The 17,820-nt window shown below is 40.0% G+C and overlaps 1 protein-coding gene across 1 annotated transcript; it reads left to right on the top strand.

The window, feature by feature from the left end:
• Positions 657-8,586, top strand: OR7A17 (olfactory receptor family 7 subfamily A member 17). The gene is made up of 3 exons (NM_030901.2): positions 657-848; positions 4,918-5,015; positions 5,238-8,586. Exon 3 carries the CDS (start codon positions 5,434-5,436, stop codon positions 6,361-6,363), a length of 930 nt encoding a protein of 309 aa, NP_112163.1. The 5' UTR covers positions 657-848; positions 4,918-5,015; positions 5,238-5,433; the 3' UTR covers positions 6,364-8,586.
• Positions 8,587-17,820: the final 9,234 nt, after the last annotated feature.

Raw genomic sequence — 17,820 nt, 5'->3', positions numbered from 1 at the left:
AATGGCGCCATATTGGCTCACTGCAACCTCCACCTCCCGGGTTCAAGCAATTCTCCTGCCTCAGCCTCCTGCATAGCTGGGATTACAGGCAACTGCCACCACACCCGGCTAATGTTTTTGCACTCCAGCTCAGGTGATACAACAAGACTCCATCTCAAAAAAATATATATATGAAATTCTAATGTTTTGGCAAAAGCAACATGAAGCCAAGAAATGTAGTACCCATGGTTTTATATGAACAGAACACAGTTCATCTCCTTGCAAAGGTAAATTGCCATTTTCTGGATATGTCAAGAGCTGAGTTTCCATCACAAGCCAGTGCTTTGGAGACTCAAGGGACCTAGTCAAGACAGGTTCCTCAGTTTAGACTTTGGAGGAAATTTTCACTGAAGGCTGGGAGAAGGTGCTAGGAGAATGGGACTCTGGAAGCCAAGGAAGTCCACGGGGAAGGAGTAATAAAGCCTGGATACACCTCACTTTTAACATAGTGTCTTGGGAATAGACGATACAGAAAAAAAAAACAACAATGACATTTGTTTCAGTGCAGGGCAACGTCCCCCAGGAAACTGATGTGTTCAGAGTTGGAATAACAGGAGGAAAGGTATCTAATCAGCAGATATACGAAGCCATAAATATCTCCTCTGCTGCAGTCCCTCAGCATATGCAACCTTGGGCTGGAAATGACATGGTGGTTTCATTTGGAGTCCTTAGTCTGGCTCAAGTATAGATGATGCTTCAACTTTTCCTGATGCCTTGTCTTGAGACAGAGATTCCATCTCCACCATCAACCTGCTAGAGAGGAATTTACACTTCTCCATGGAGACCTTCCTTTCAGAAAACTCAGTAGGGTAAGTCCCAGAGCCCAGTGGGTACTGTAGGAAAGGTCAGGAAGAACAAGAGCCGTGAATATTAACCTGAGGTCACCTGAGAGCCAATCATTTCCTCCAGCTTTGTTCCTTTTGCTTAGAAATGTCTTGGCTATACGGGCTATTTTTTGGTTCTATATGAAATTTAAAGTAGTTTTTGTAACTCTGTAAAGAAAGTCAATGTTAGCTTGATGGGGATAGCATTGAATCTATAAATTACTTTGGGCAGTATGGCCATTTTCAAGATATTGATTCTTCCTTTCCATGAGCATGGAATGTTTTTCCATTTGTTTGTGTCCTCTCTTATTTCCTTGAGCTGTGGTTTGTAGTTCTCCTTGAAGAAGTCCTTCACATCCCTTGTAGGTTATATTCCTAGGTATTTTATTCTCTTTGTAGCAATTGTGAATGGGAGTTCACTCATGATTTGGCTCTCTGTCTATTATTGCTGTATAGGAATGCTTGTGATTTTTGCACATTGATTTTGTATCCTGAGATTTTGCTGAAGTTGCTTATCAGCTTAAGGAGATTTTGGGCTGAGACGATGGGGTTTCCTAAATATACAATCATGTCATCTGCAAACAGAGACAATTTGACTTCCTCTCTTTGTATTTGAATACCCTTTACTTCCTTCTCTTGCCTGATTGCCCTGGCCAGAACTTCCAACACTATGTTGAATAGGAGTGGTGAGAGAGGGCACACTTGTCTTGTGCCAGTTTTCAAAGGGAATGCTTCCAGCTTTTGCCTATTCAGTATGATATTGGCTGTGGGTATGTCATAAATAGCTCTGATTATTTTGAGTTATGTTCCATCAATACCTAGTTTACTGAGAGTTTTTAGCATGAAGGGGAGTTGAATTTTATCGGAGGACTTTTCTGCATCTATTGAGATAATCATGTAGTTTTTGTCATTGGTTCTATTTATGTGATGGATTACATTTATTGATTTGCATATGTTGAACCAGCCTGGCATCCCAGGGATGAAGCCGACTTGATGATGCTGGATAAGCTTTTTGATGTGCTGCTGGATTCAGTTTGCCAGTATTTTACTGAGGATTTTCACATTGATGTTCATCAGGGATATTGGCCTGAAATTTTCTCTTTTTTTGTTGTGTCTCTGCCAGGTTTTGGTATCAGGATGATGCTGGCCTCATAAATTGAGCTGGGGAGGAGTCCCTCTTTTTCCATTGTTTGAAATCGTTTCAGAAGGAGTGATACCAGGTCCTCTCTGTACCTCCGGCAGAATTCAGCTGTGAAACTGACTGGTCCTGGGCCTCTTTTTGGTTGGTAGGCTATTAATTACTGCCTCAATTTCAGAACTTGTTATTGGTCTATTTAGGGATTTGACTTCTTCCTGGTTTAGTCTTGAGAGGGTGTATGTGTCCAGGAATTTATCCATTTCTTCTAGATTTTCTAGCTTATTTGCATAGAGGTGTTTATAGTATTCTCTGATGGGAGTTTGTATTTCTTTGGGATCGTTAACTTTTTTGGTTTACTTTTTAGAGCCTGGTTCTCACTATGATGCCCCGGCTGTTCTCAAAATCCTGGCTTCAGGTGACCTCCCTACTCAGCCTCCCAAAGCACTGGGATTACAGCTGTGATCCAATTATATTGCCCTCCTCATTGACTGTTAATGAAATATTTAAGGAAACATTTTTGGTCATAAAAAGTTTTAACTTTTATTTACCTAAAAATATGTCTACTTTCTTAGTTTTTTTTCTTGCGTTAGTTAAAATACTTTGTCTACACTAAGATCTTATATGTAGTTATCTATGTATTCGTCTAACATATATTGCTGACTTTTACACTGAGGTCTTTAAATCTGCTAATTCTTTGTAAAATGTGAGTCGGGAGACACACTTCATTTTCTCCCAGGTAGATAGCTATTTATTTCTGCTTTTATTCAACAATCTGGTCTTTTGCAACTAAATTGGATTGCAATCTTGTCATATTTTAATACCCATATATACTAGGACTTACTTCCTGACTTATTCAATAAGTCGAGAGTATCTTCTATGTGCCAGAACATTTTAGAAACATTGTGTATTATATAATTTTATGTCTAGGTCTTTGCCAATAAACTAAATCATTTGATATCATTAAATTATTCTTATTGTTTATCTTGGCTTGGTTAACGTTTTATGTACCATAACATTTAAAAAATATAGTTGTTTGGAAATCACTACATTTACCCTGGCTTTAATCCCATAACATTCTTTTTATTTTATCACGTCTCATTGCTTTAATTTTTTTCTACATAATACAGACATACTCATACACCTTTGTGAAAATACAAACTTAAAGCAGGGAAGTTCCTGCTCATTTGACTCATGCATTATAACAGAGAAGACAAAGTAAAATGTAACAAATGTGTCTATGACACAATGTCCTCAAGGATGAAATCATATGGAGAATTTCATTCTGCAGAAAAGGAGACAGTTATCATAGTGTGTGCAGGATTTTTTTCTTTTTTTTTTTCTTTTTTTGAGACAGAGTTTCGCTCTTGTTGCCCAGGCTGGAGTGCAATGGCACAATCTCAGCTCACTGCAACCTCCGCCTCCCAGGTTCAAGCGATTCTCCTACCTCAGCCCCCCGAGTAGCTGGGATTACAGCCACCTGCCTCCACACCTGGCTAATTTTTGTATTTTTAGTACAGACGGGGCTTCGCCACATAGGCCAGGCTGGTCTCGAACTCCTGACCACAATTGATCTACCCACCTCAGCCTCCCAAAGTGCTGGAATTAGAGGCGTGAGCCACGGTGCCCAGCCAGGATTCAATAGTATGGTCTAGGAAGGACATTGCATGTTACAGGAAGACCAGAACCAGAACTAGTGCAATTCCATAGGACTGTCAAAAAGAGTTCAAATCCCAAAGACCCTGAATAATTAAAGAAGAGATGCCACATGAATAATTAAAGAAGAGAAATGAGAAGGCTGTCTCACATGCTATCAGACCATTTCTGAATTCTCGTGGGGAAAGATAATTTGAAATTGACAACTTGCCTGGTATTCGTTTCTTTCTAACAGTGTAACCAGGGTGAGAAAAGCACAAGAGTAACATGGCTCCAGGGAGCTACAGTGTGCTGCGTGCATGTAGGCAATGTGTGTGTGTGTGCGTGCGCGCACGCACCTTTAGCATAAAAGCAGGTTGCAGAGAAAGGGGATTTGGGCTCTGTATTCCAAAAGGTATCTCATAATAGAAAAGCCAGAAGTCAAAGACACGGCGGGAAAAAAAGAGGGGATGCATTACACATACTGAGATGCCTTCGCAGGCAAATTAATAAAATGCAAATGCAACAGCATCTGGTCAGACGGACTCCTTGTGTCTTTAAGTTTCAGCAGCTTCAAGGCCACCTCATCCCACAACATCTTCTGAAACCATCTCTCATCACTCTCTTCCTGTACATTCCCCTGACACACTGGCTTCCTTGAGCACCTTGAACATCTGAAAGAAGCACATTCTGTGAAGTCTTCCACTGAGCCTTCCTTCCCCTTGCACAGACTCCAGCAAGGGACATGATGACTCTCGCCCTGTCTTCATTCTGCTCTCTGTTCAGTTTTTAGCTTGTCTGCTGATCTTGTCTGTACACCTATTAAAAGTAACACTTTTTATCCTTTTTATTCATAGGACTAATCACCAACTGACATAGTATATATGTATTTGTTCCCGTTATTTGATTGTAGGGACTCTGTTTTATAGCACCATTGACTCATTATCTATACAGTACCCTGAACATCAACTCATTTTTTATTCCACAAATGCATGAATGATTTTTCTCTTTAATGATACTGTAGAATACATGCCCTCAGGGAAAGGCTGAGAGAGAGAGAGAGAGAGAGCGAGAGAGCGTGGTCTAGGAATTCCTAATCAGAGATGGCAAGGAGATCTTCTAACAGGGACCAGATTTACACACAAAACATAGAAAACAGCTTCTTGTAGAATGGAGATTACTAGAGGCCAGGGCAATTGGTATGGAGGCTTGAGGTGATGTCAGTCAAGGGATACAAGATGATAATTAGATAGAAGGAATAACTTCAAAATATTTATTTTACAGCATGGTGAATATAGTTCATGATGATATATTGAATTATTGGAAAATGCCAAGAAAATGGATGTTAAGTGTTCTCGCCACAAGAATGATGACTATATGAGGTAATACTAATGTTAATTGGCTAGATTTAGCCAATCCACAATGTAAATATACTTCCACATGTGATGTTATACATGATAAATGCATACCATTTTATCTGTCACCATAGAAATAAATAATTTTTAAAGGAAAAATAAGTTCTTGACTCCGGAGTATAAATGAGAGAATTTCTGATAGGTTTGTAATGCATAATTACATTGTCATATTCTCTCTCTTTTTGGTAGTCACATTGAAAAGATGCAACCAAGCCTGGGCACAATGGCTTATGCCTATAATCTCAGCACTTTTGTAGGCTGAAGTGGGAGGATCGCATGAGTCCAGGAGGTTCAGACCAGCGTTGGCAACAGAGTGAGAGACCCTGTCTATGTTAATAAATAAATAAATAAATAAATAAATAAATAAATAAATAGAAAAAAAAAGATGGAACCAGAGAATGACACAGGGATTTCAGAATTTGTTCTTCTGGGACTTTCTGAGGAACCAGAATTGCAGCCCTTCCTCTTTGGGCTGTTTCTGTCCATGTACCTGGTCACTGTGCTCGGGAATCTGCTCATCATCCTGGCCACAATCTCAGACTCCCACCTCCACACCCCCATGTACTTCTTCCTCTCCAACCTGTCCTTTGCAGACATCTGTTTCATCTCCACTACAATCCCAAAGATGCTCATTAACATCCAGACACAGAGCAGAGTCATCACCTATGCAGGCTGCATCACCCAGATGTGCTTTTTTGTACTTTTTGGAGGGTTAGACAGCTTACTCCTGGCTGTGATGGCCTATGATCGGTTTGTGGCCATCTGTCATCCTCTGCACTACACAGTCATCATGAACCCTCGGCTCTGTGGACTCCTGGTTCTGGCATCCTGGATGATTGCTGCCCTGAATTCCTTGTCACAAAGCTTAATGGTATTGTGGCTGTCCTTCTGCACAGACTTGGAAATCCCCCACTTTTTCTGTGAACTTAATCAGGTCATCCACCTTGCCTGTTCTGACACCTTTCTTAATGACATGGGGATGTATTTTGCAGCAGGGCTGCTGGCTGGTGGTCCCCTTGTGGGGATCCTTTGCTCTTACTCTAAGATAGTTTCCTCCATACGTGCAATCTCATCAGCTCAGGGGAAGTACAAGGCATTTTCCACCTGTGCATCACACCTCTCAGTTGTCTCTTTATTTTGTTGTACGGGCCTAGGTGTGTACCTTACTTCTGCTGCAACCCACAACTCACACACAAGTGCAACAGCCTCAGTGATGTACACTGTGGCCACCCCCATGCTGAACCCCTTTATCTACAGTCTGAGGAATAAAGACATAAAGAGGGCTCTGAAAATGTCCTTCAGAGGAAAGCAATAAAAGGGCCATTTTTCAAGAAATAACTGTGATTTCAGAGCTTTAAGTCTCATACTCAGAAATTGTGATTCACGAATCAGGTTGTGAAAGTGGAATTTGCTCCTTCTATTTTTTCTCAGAGTTTCAATTTCTTTGATCTCAACTGACATAGAATTTAATGTATTCCTTTATAAAGCTTTCCGCTCTCTGATATCCAATCTTTTTTTTTTTTTTTTTTTTGTCATTTTCCTACTTTCCCAATGTTTTTCCCAAACTAGGGTCAGAAACAAGGTGGAGATTCCTATTTTTCTCCTACACTTGTGGGTTGCATTAGTCCTGCAGAATCAATTGCACCTGGCAGCCATAAGGTCATTAATATAATTTTATTTTAGATAAATATCTGAGAAGACAGTTTTTCACTTTGAGCTTATTCCTTTCTCCACCACCACCTTAAGTGTTCTTCCTGGTCATGTAAACTTTACCCCACACGAGTGTGCATTTTAGCTCATCATGGCATTTATTTTTTTAGATGGAGTCTCGCTCTGTCACCCAGGCTGAAGTGCAGTGGCATCATCTCAGCTCACTGCAACCTCTGCCTCCTGGGTTCAAGCAATTCTCCTGCCTCAGCCTCCCAAGGAGCTGGGATTACAGGCATGTACCACCATGCCCGGCTAATTTTTGTATTTTTAGTAGGGAAGGGGTTTCACCATGTTGGCCAGGCTGGTCTCGAACTCCTACCCTCAGGGGATCCGCCTGCCTCGGCCCCCCAAAGTGCTGTCATCATGGCATTTTATCCTACTCATTAGGGTCCTGTCCTCTATTCAGTTCAGTGTCCACCGTGCCTGCTCAATTCCCTGGAAAGAGTAAGAAGGTAAAAATTTCCTATCAAGTGCAGGCACGGTGGCTCAGGCCTGTAATCCCAGCACTTTGGGAGGCCAAGGCGGGCGGATCACCTGAGGTAGGGAGTTGGAGACCAGGCTGACCAACAGGGAGAAACCCCGTCTCTACCAAAAATACAAAATTAGCTGGGCGTGGTGGCGCATGCCTGTAATCCCAGCTACGCAGGAGACTGAGGCAGGAGAATGGTTTGAACCCGGGAGACGGAGGTTGCAGTGAGCCGAGATCACAGCATTGCCCTCCAGTCTGGGCAACAAGAGCGAAACTCCATCTCAAAAAAAAAAAAATTGCCTATCAAATTCACACTTCAAGTGTAGTCTGCACAGAAAAATAAATTTGTGTGAATCAATTGATTTCATCTGGACTTAGATTACAAAAACACCTGAAAGAATATGGATTAAAAAATTTATTCATAACTGAAAGAATAAATGCTTAATGGGGTGGGTACCCCATTCACCATGATGTGATTATTATATAACGCATGCCTGTATCAAAACATCTCATGTACCCCATAAGTATATACATCTACTATGTACCCACAAAAATATAAAAGAAAAAAAGATGGAGTAAAATTTTTGGCCCGGCATGGTGGCTCACGCCTGTAATCCCAGAACTTTGGGAGGCTGAGGCAAGTGGATTACCTGAAGTCAGGAGTTCAAGACCAGGCTGGCCAACATGGTGAAACCCTGTCTCTACTAAAAATGCAAAAATTAGCCGGGCATGGTGGCACATGCCTGTAATCCCAGCTACTCAGGAGGCTGAGGCAGGAGAATCACTTGAACCTGGGAGGTGGAGGTTGCAGTGAGCTGAGATCACACCACTGCACTCCAGCCTGGGTGACAGAGACTCCATCTCAAAAAAAAAAATCAGTCATACATTGAATTGCATTGGGAGATTTGATCTGATGATATACATCTACTTATAGAGGCTTGGTGCCCATTTGTAATGAGGTTTGTTAGTCCAAGGGAAGGATTTGGAATCACAGTCTATGTAATTTCATTATATCATTTTACTGTTTCTGCTTAAAAATTTACAGTGCTACACACAAATAAGACTCCTTCTGTTGTCCTGCTTAAAATCTTCCTTTTAAAATATTGTGTCTTAGCCATTAAAATGTAGGTAAGTGAACAATGTGTGTATTTAACTTATCATCAGTTCATTTGTCTCTTTTATACTCTAACTCTCTTCAACCCTTATAATCAAATGATGACTCACAAAGGAACCTGAATTTCTAACCAGCATTGGCTTGGAGAATAGAGACTTGTGAATCAGAATCACAATTTATATCTACAAATACATACACGTTCTTTCAAAATATTCTAGCTCCCTAGAAGGGAATCTAATAGGTAGTCTCATTTTTTATACAGTTATCTGAAATAAACATGAATGCTGCCTTTAAATATCAGAACAAATGTCCAAAAATAAGAGGCATTAAATTATTCTGAATTCTTTTGTTCTGCTTGCATTGATTGTATCATTAAGCTACTGCTGCATAACAAGGTATACTAATAGAAAAAGGTTTAATGACATGCTTTTATTTCCACATAGGGAGCTATACTAAAGAAGATTTTATAATAAGGATTAATACATATGAATACTGGAGGAGACAAAAACATTGAGTCCACAGGACCATCCAAATCTAGTTCGTTTTTTCAATTTTGGACATGGTGAATGGAGAGGAAGATCAGTAGAAGTGGTGGGATCTCACAATAACTCTTATTTCTTCTTAATACTGAACATCTCATGACTGCTCAAATCCTGATAGAAAAAGCAGTCTTATGTTCAAGCTCAATGTCAACCATTTCAGGGACATAGATTCTTCCCAAATGAGGTATCATCAAGACCCAGAGCCAAGGATGGAGAATGACAATTGTCATAAAGACAATAGAGGACTCAATAAATAAGTAAAAAATAAAAATTATCTATCTGGGGGTGAAACAGACATGCAAATATTGTGCACTTCTGTTAACATTAAGTGTTTATGAATTACATTCTATAGACTTTCAACAAGTAAGATAAGATTTCTATGAAGACTTGGAGGAGTTCCCAGAAGAGCTAGAGGATTAATATGATCCACCAAGAAACATCAGCTTTATAGATATTCCTAAGAGAAGAAGATAGTAGAACAGCTTGAAAGAGTCTAAAAATTCCTTAATATGACTATTTGGAGGGAACATAAGAGTAACACAGATGATGTCCCTGAATTCAACAAAGTATAGAATGATGGCCTCTCAAGTTCTCTTCTCCCTATACAGGGCCTTAGGTAGAAGTCCTCCTTCATGATCACAACTTGCTGCCTCCCAGGAGCAGGGCAATGCTAGACTCACTTCCTGTCCCCAAACACCATTCTGGTGTCACCATGAGCCTAGGAAATGGGGAGTTGGAACCTAGTCACTATAGCTGCTCTCCATTGAACAGCTCCTCTGTGCCAAGGAATTTCCAGTGAGCTTTAAACTGTTATTGCTGTTCATATCCTTCCCCCACTTTTTGATGGAGTTATTTGTTTTTTTCTTGCAAATTTGTTTAAGTTCCTTGTAGACTCTGGATATTAGACCTTTGTCAGGTGGATAGATTGCAAAAATGTTCTCCTGTTCTGTAGGTTGCCTGTTCAATCTGATGATAGTTTCTTTTGCTGTGCAGAAGCTCTTTAGTTTAATTAGATCCTATTTGTCCATTTTGGCTTTTGTTACCATTGCTTTTGTTGTTTCAGTCATGAAGTCTTGGACCATGCCTATGTCCTGAAACTGGAAACCATCATCCTCAGCAAACTAACACAGGAACAGAAAACCAGACACCACATGTTCTCACTCATAGGTAGGAGTTGAACAGTAAGAACACATGGACACAGGGAGGGGAACATCATACACTGGGGACTGTTGGCAGGGTTGGGGAGGAAAGGGGAGGGGGAGCATTAGGACAAATACTTAATGCATGCGGGGCTTAAAACCTAGATGACGGGTTGATAGGTGCTGCAAACCACCATGGCACATGTATACCTATGTGTAACAAATCTGCATGTTCTGCACATGTATCCCAGAACTTAAAGTAAAATTTTAAAAAACTGTTACTTACTTCTCACATAAATTCTACAAGGTGGGTGGAATTTCTAAAAGTTTTTTATCCTACTGTGAGGGAAGTACTCAAGAGGCTTGTATAAACTTGTTTCTGCAGAAGCTGAGCCACTGAGGGAAACATTTGACCTCCTAAAGGCAGACATGAGGTATGTGGTACGATTCTTGGTGAAAAAGGTTTAAAAGTAGTTTTCTTTGACTCTAACACTGGATCCTCAAAGAGTGCTTCACAGAACAGAATGAACAGCATCACCATCAACAGGGAAACAGCCACAAATGCACAACGTTTCTGCCTACCCTCAATGTCCCAAATCAGAATCTGCATTTGAACAAGGTCCCAAATGAATTATAAAAACTTTCAATTTGAGTATATTCTTTTCCAAAACATTCTCTCAACCTCTCCAAGGTTAACATGTTTATGGATACTTCTGGTGTAGACTGTTCTGTGCATTGTGAGATGTTGAACAGCAATCCCTGGCTTTAATCCACTAGGTTCCAGTAGCACCTCCCTAGGTGACAACAACAAAAAATGTATCCAGACATTTCCAAGTGTCTCATGGAAGGACAATCATCCCTGGTTGAGAACCACTGACCGAGACTGTGAGAACTGGAAACCGTTTTTTTTGTTTTGTTTTGTATTGTATTGTTTTGTTTTGTTTTGTTTTGAGACCAAGTCTCGCTCTGTCACCCAGGCTGGAGTGCAGTGGTGTGATCTTGGCTCACTGCAACCTCTGCCTCCTGGGTTCAAGCGATTCTCCTGCCTCAGCCTCCCGAGTAGCTGGGACTACAGGCACCTGCCACCACGCCCAACTAATTTTTTGTATTTTTATTAGAGATGGGGTTTCACCATATTGGCCAGGCTGGTCTCGAGCTCCTGACCTCGTGATCCACCCACCTCGGCCTCCCAAAGTGCTGGGATGAGCCACCGCCTGCAGCCAAGAACTAGAAACATCTTGATGGAGTTCCAATCAAAGCTCATCCTTCCCTCAGTTCATAACACTGGGCAGATCACTTAACCCTTCTTAGCCCCAATTCTACAAATGTAGAAAGAGGCTCCTCGTAGCATGGGAATGTGCAAAAATGAGACACATTACATGTGACATTAAATGAGACAAACCATGTAAGATTCCAACTTCAGTCCATGGTGCATAAAATGTGTAATTATATCTCTTGCAATAGCCAAATGTTTCATAAATTAAGGATTAAATGACAACACTTTCTTGTGTATACAAGCATGAAACTCCTAATTGTTTTGTCGATAGCATCAGGAAGCCAAGGATTATACTAACTATCAATGGTTTTATAGCAAATGAACACATTATCTCCATTGTTGGAGAGGGAATTGCAATTTTCTGGAGATGTCAATAAAACTATGTTCTTACCAGAAGTCAATACGTTGAGTTTCCAAGGGCCCTGGTGAAGACATATTCTTCGTCTTAATCTTTGGAGACAATTTTAACTCAAGTTTCAGCAAAAGTGCTAAGGAGGCTAGACCATCGTCAGGTGGGAGATTTCACAGAGAAGTAATGAAGTCTGGATTCACCTGACTTCTAGCCTGATCTCTTTGGAACAGAATCAGCAGAAAAATGTTTCTTCTTTTCCAGACCTGTGTCCAACGAAAAATCAGGTGCTCATGCAACTCATAATTGCAAAAATATGGAACCAACCTAAATGCCCACCAAACAATGAGTGGCTAAAGAAATTGTTATATACACACACACACCGTGGGACACTACTCAGCCATGAAAAGGATGAATTGATGGCATTCGTAGCAATCTGGATGGAAATTGAAGACCATTATTTTAAGTGAAGTAACTCAGGAATGGAAAACCAAACATCATAGGTTCTCACTCATGAGTGGGAGCTAAGCTACGAGGATGCAGAGGCATAAGAATGATACAATGGATTTTGGGGACTTGGGGAAAGGGTGGGAGGGGGATGGGGAATAAAAGACTATCCATGGGGTACAGCGTACACTGCTCAGGTGATGAGTGCACCAAAATCTCAGAAATCACCACTAAAGGCCGGGCGCGGTGGCTCATGCCTGTAATCCCTGCACTTTTGGAGGCCGAGGCGGGCAGATCACGAGGTCAGGAGATCGAGACCATCCTGGCTAACAGGGTGAAACCCCGTCTCTACTAAAAATACAAAAAATTAGCCGAGCGTGGTGGTGGGCGCCTGTAGTCCCGGCTACTAAGGAGGCTGAGGCGGAAGAATGGCGTGAACCCGGGAGGTGGAGCTTGCAGAGAGCTGAGATCGCGCCACTGCACTCCAGCCTGGGCGACAGAGCGAGACTCTGTCTCAAAAAAAAAAAAGAAATCACTAAAGAACTTATTCATGTAACCAAACAATACCTGTTCCCCAAAAAACTATTTAAATAACTTTTTTAAAAGTCAACAGATGAAAAAAGATTAGGTGCTCATGGATTGGAGTGAAAAAAGGGAAATTTGTCTGATGCATAGATACAGGGAATTGTAAAAATCTATTTCATCTGCTATTGTCCTTAAGACTGTAACAGCTTCGGACTGGATGTGATGTGAATGGTTTGTAGACATATGTCTGGCTAAGGTGCTGATGTTTCACTTCTTCTTACTGTCTTGTCTGGGGACAGAGCTTCATTCTCCATTATCAGCATCCAGGGAGGAGCTCAGACTTCCATATGGAGACCTTCCTCTCTGAGACCCCATACAGGTGAGTCCGCCCAGTAGGTACTGCAGAAAATGTTCAGAGGCAATATAAGTCAAGAATATTTACCTAGTGTTACCTGAAAGCCAAACTAGCCTAAGTCAAGCTGAGAGATTGATGTGTGTTTGTTTGCCTGGTTGACTAATTTATATTTAATATAGTTAATATGTTAAAAAGAGAAGTGTTTGTCATACTAAGCAATGCAGGGATCATTGCTGACAACTAAGTGATAATAAAGGAAGTTGATTTGGATGAGATTGAAGAAGGAATGGAAGACAAAAAGTGGTTCCAGTAAATTACAACACATACTAGAAATTTTGCAGTGAAAGAAGCAGGATAGTAGAATATTTGGTGTGGAATGATGTGCAATGAATTGAGAGACTTTGGAACAAATTTTAAGAGAGGCGTATTTGAGCATGTTTCTGTGCTTAACTGCAAAGATCCACACCAATGGATTACTTGTAAATTCCATCTTGCAACAGCAGTTCACAAGACATACATTTCATAGTCTCTTCTTTCATGTTGGATATTCACATGAAAAATAAATGTTATACAATAGGTCAAAATGAGAATACTAAAGAGTTTTTGCTTGCAATTATTTTCTTCTTCTGGTGAGGCTGGATTTGTTTGCTTTTTATTTTCTCTATTGCAAATTATGCAAGTTCCCTGCTTTCATGTTCTGACGTCTGAATGTTTTCATTCTTTTGACTGCATTCTTTCAAACAAGAAATTGTAGCTTTTTCACCAACTTTGCTGAATAATGTTTAATTTTTATGTATGTAGAGGTGTATATCAGGAAAATGTGTGAAAGTTTATAAGCGTTGTGTGCTCAAATCTGTTTGTCATAATTTGTTCCCACCTCTCCAATTGTTTTTTGACTTAGAAAATTCTTCTGCATCATTGCTAGAAATATATCATCCTTCATAAGTATTTCCATCTTATTTCACATCTGTTTTTGCTTATTGCTTCCTTTTGTAATTAGATCTATTTTTATTTTTAATTTAATGTTTTAATTTCTGTTTTGATTGACAAAAATCATTGCATTCTTGTGGGGTGCAGTAAGATGTTATTTTATTTTTATTTCTATTTTTATTTTTTATTATACTTCAAGTTCTGGGATACATGTGCAGAACACGTAGGTTTGTTACATAGGTATACACGTGCCATGGTGGTTTGCTGCACCCATCAAGCCGTCATCATCTGCATTAGGCTATCCCTCCGCTAGCCCTCCACCCACCGACAGGCCCCGGTGTGTGATGTTCCCCTCCTTGTGTCCGTGTGTTCTCATTGTTCAACTCCCACTTGTGAGTGAGAACATGCAGTGTTTGGTTTTCTAGCAATCCCATTACTGGGTATATACCCAAAGGATTATAAATCATTCTACTATAAAGACACATGCACACGTATGTTTATTGCAGCACTGTTCACGATAGCAAAGACTTGGAACCAACCCAAATGCCCGTCAATGGTAGACTGGATAAAGTAAATGTGGCACCTATACACCATAGAATACTATGCAGCCATAAAAAAGGATGAGTTCATGTCCTTTGCAGGGACATGGATGAAGCTGGAAACCATCATTCTCAGCAAACTAACACAGGATAAGATGTTATTTTATATGTATTCATTGTAGAATGATTAAAGGAACCTAATTAATGTATCGGTCACTTCATACACTTATCATGTCTTTGTGGTTGAGAACATTTAAAATCTATGATACTAGCACTTTGGAAATATATAATACATTATTCTCAACTAAAGTCATCATGCTGTGCAATAGATTACTAGAACCCATTCTTGCTAACTTTATATCCTTTATCTAATGTCTCCGCTTTCTGCATCCACCCCACCCCATACTCCAGTCCCTGGTAACCACTGCCTTACTCCTCTCTATCCCTATGAGTTTGATTATTTAGATTCTGCATATAAATGAGAATATGCAGATCTATATTTTAAAGCAGTAATCTACTGCCATCTTGTGGAAGATACTCTTTTGCACTCACAACCTACAATTGAATACAAACTAAAATTACATTCAACTTAAGATCTTTTTCGTAAGCATATTTGGATCCATTTATACTTAGATAGGAATGAAATTATGGCTTTAAATACTGTTTCTTCTACTGCTAAAAAAAGCGTATTTTAATTTTTTTACTTTTAAGTTCAGGGGTACATGTGCAGTTTTGTTACATAGGTAAACACGTGTCATGGGGGTTTATTGTACAGATTATTTCATCACCCAGGTATTAAGCCTAGTACCCATTAGTTATCTTTCCTGATCTCCCTCCTCCCACCCTCCACCCTCCAGTTGGCCCCAGTGTGTTTTTCCCTTCTCTGTGTCCGTGTGTTCTCATGATTTAGCTCCCACTTGTAAGTGAGAACATCTGGTATTTGATTTTCTGTTCCTGTGTTAGTTTGCTAAGGATAATGGCCTCTAACTCCAACCATGTTGCTGCAAAGGACATGATCTTGTTCTTTTTTATGGCTGCATAGTATTCCATGGTATATATGTACCACATTTTCTTTATCCAGTCTATCATTCATGGGCATCTAGGTTGACTCCATGTCTTTGCTATTTTGAATAGTGTTGCAATGACTATACGTGTGCATGTGTCTTTATAATAGAATGATTTATATTCCTATGGGTATATACCCAGGAATGGGATTGCTGGGTTGAAGGATATTTCTGTCTTTAGATCTCTGAGGAATTGCCACACTGTCTTCCACAATGGTTGAGCATTTATTTGCAGATGTTTGCCACTTTAATTTTGAATTTCTGACTCACGTCAGTAATTTATTTCATATCTTTTCTTTCATAAGTTTGTTTTAGATTTTCATTATTCAAATCTTACCTGGTATCCATTTCCTTTCTAATGCTGTAATTGGTGTTGAGAAGGGCATGGGAGTAACATGCACCCAGGAAGCCACAGCAGATGTGTATGTGTGTTCCGTATATATGTGTGTATGTGTCTATGTGTGTGTGTGTGTTTATGTGTGTGTGTGTGTGTATGATGCTTCAGAGTGAGAAGAAGTTTCAGACAAAGAGATCCTGAGTTACATATTCCAAATGACAACACAAAATATGAACGTCAGATGTGTATATGTGTTCCGTGTGTATGTGTGTGTGTGTGTTTCTTTAGGGTGAGAAGTTTCAGACAAAGAGAACCTGGGCTATGTATTCCAAAAGATAACTCATCATATGAACATCAGAACTCAAGGCCACAGCAGGAAACAAAGAGGAAGTTCATTGCAATTCATGGGGCGCCTTTGCAACCAAATTAATAAAGTGCAAATGCAACATCTGGACAGAAGGACTCCTTGTGTCTTCAGGTTTCAGCAGCTTCCAGGCCAACTCCTTCCTCAATATCCTCTGAAACCATCTCTCATTCCTCTCCTCTTGCTTGTTTGCCTGCCACACTGGCTTACTTGTTGGACTTGAACATCTGAAAGAAGAACACGCCTCAGGGTCTTTCATTGTCGTTCCTTCTGCCTTGCATACGCTTCTGCAAGGAACATGGTGACTCCACCCTGTCTTCATTGTGGTCTCTGTTCAGTTGTCACCTTGTCTACTGGTCTTACCTGACCACCCAATAAAAAATAACACTCCATCCACATTCTCCTTCTTACCTCTTTCTTCTTTTGTTTTATAACATCACACATTCATTTTCTGGACAGTGCCTGGAATATGCCAAAATCCACTTTATATTCCTCAAATGCATGAAAGATTTTCTCATTAAAACTTTAGAATACATGCTCTCTGCCAAGGACTGAAGGTAGAACATGTATTCCTGATTAATATTGTCAAAATTGGCCAGGTGCGGTGGCTCATGCCTATAATCCCAGGATTTGGGGAGGGCAAGGCAGGCAGATCACCTGAGGTCAGGAGTTTGAGACCAGCCTGGCAAACGTGGCAAAACCCCATCTCTACTAAAAATACAAAAACTATCCAGGCAAGGTGGCGGATGCCTGTGTCCCAGCTACTCAGGAGGCTGAGGCACAAGAATCACTTGAACCTGGGAGGTGGAGGTTGCAGTGAGTGGGGATCGTGCCACTGGCCTTCAGTCTGGCAACAGAGTGAGACTTTGTCTCAAAAAGTAAATAAATAACTAAATAACAATATTATCAAAATGCCCATAATACCCAAAGTGATCAAAAGACACAGTGCAATCCCTGTCAAAATACCAATGACATTCTTCACAGAAATACAAAAAAAATTGTATAATACATATGGAACCATCCAAGACCCTACATGGCTAAAACAATGTTGAACCAAAAGAACAAAGCTGGAGACATCACACTATCTGACTTCAAACTATATTATGAAGCTATTGTACCTAAACCAGCTTCGTGCTGGCATAAAAACATACACATGGGCCAAAGGAACAGAGACGAAAACCCATAAATAAACACATATTTACAGCCAACTGATTTTAGACAAAAGTGCCAAGAACACATATTGGTGAAAGGACAGTCTTTTTAATGAATGCTACTGGGAAAACTGGATATCCACATTCAGAAAAAGGAAACTAGATTCCTTTTCTTGCTATATACAAAAATTAACTTTAAATGAAATAAATATTTAAATGGAATACCAAAAACTATGAAACTACTAGAAGAAAATACATGGGATAAGCTTCATAAAATTAGCCAAGGTAAAGATTTTTCAAAATAAAACTTCAAAAGCATAGATTACAAAAGTAAAAATAGATGAATGGGATGACATCAAACTAAAAAATCTTCTGCACAGCAAAGGAGATAATTGACAGATCCAAGAGAAAAGCTGTACAATGAGAGACAATATTTCCAAACTAAACATCTGAAAAATGGT

This window comes from Homo sapiens, chromosome 19 (assembly GCF_000001405.40).
Source record: "Homo sapiens chromosome 19, GRCh38.p14 Primary Assembly".
Taxonomy (NCBI): Eukaryota; Metazoa; Chordata; class Mammalia; order Primates; family Hominidae; genus Homo; species Homo sapiens.
The sequence above is the reverse complement of the archived record's forward strand: the minus strand, read 5'-3'. Positions and strand labels throughout refer to the sequence as shown.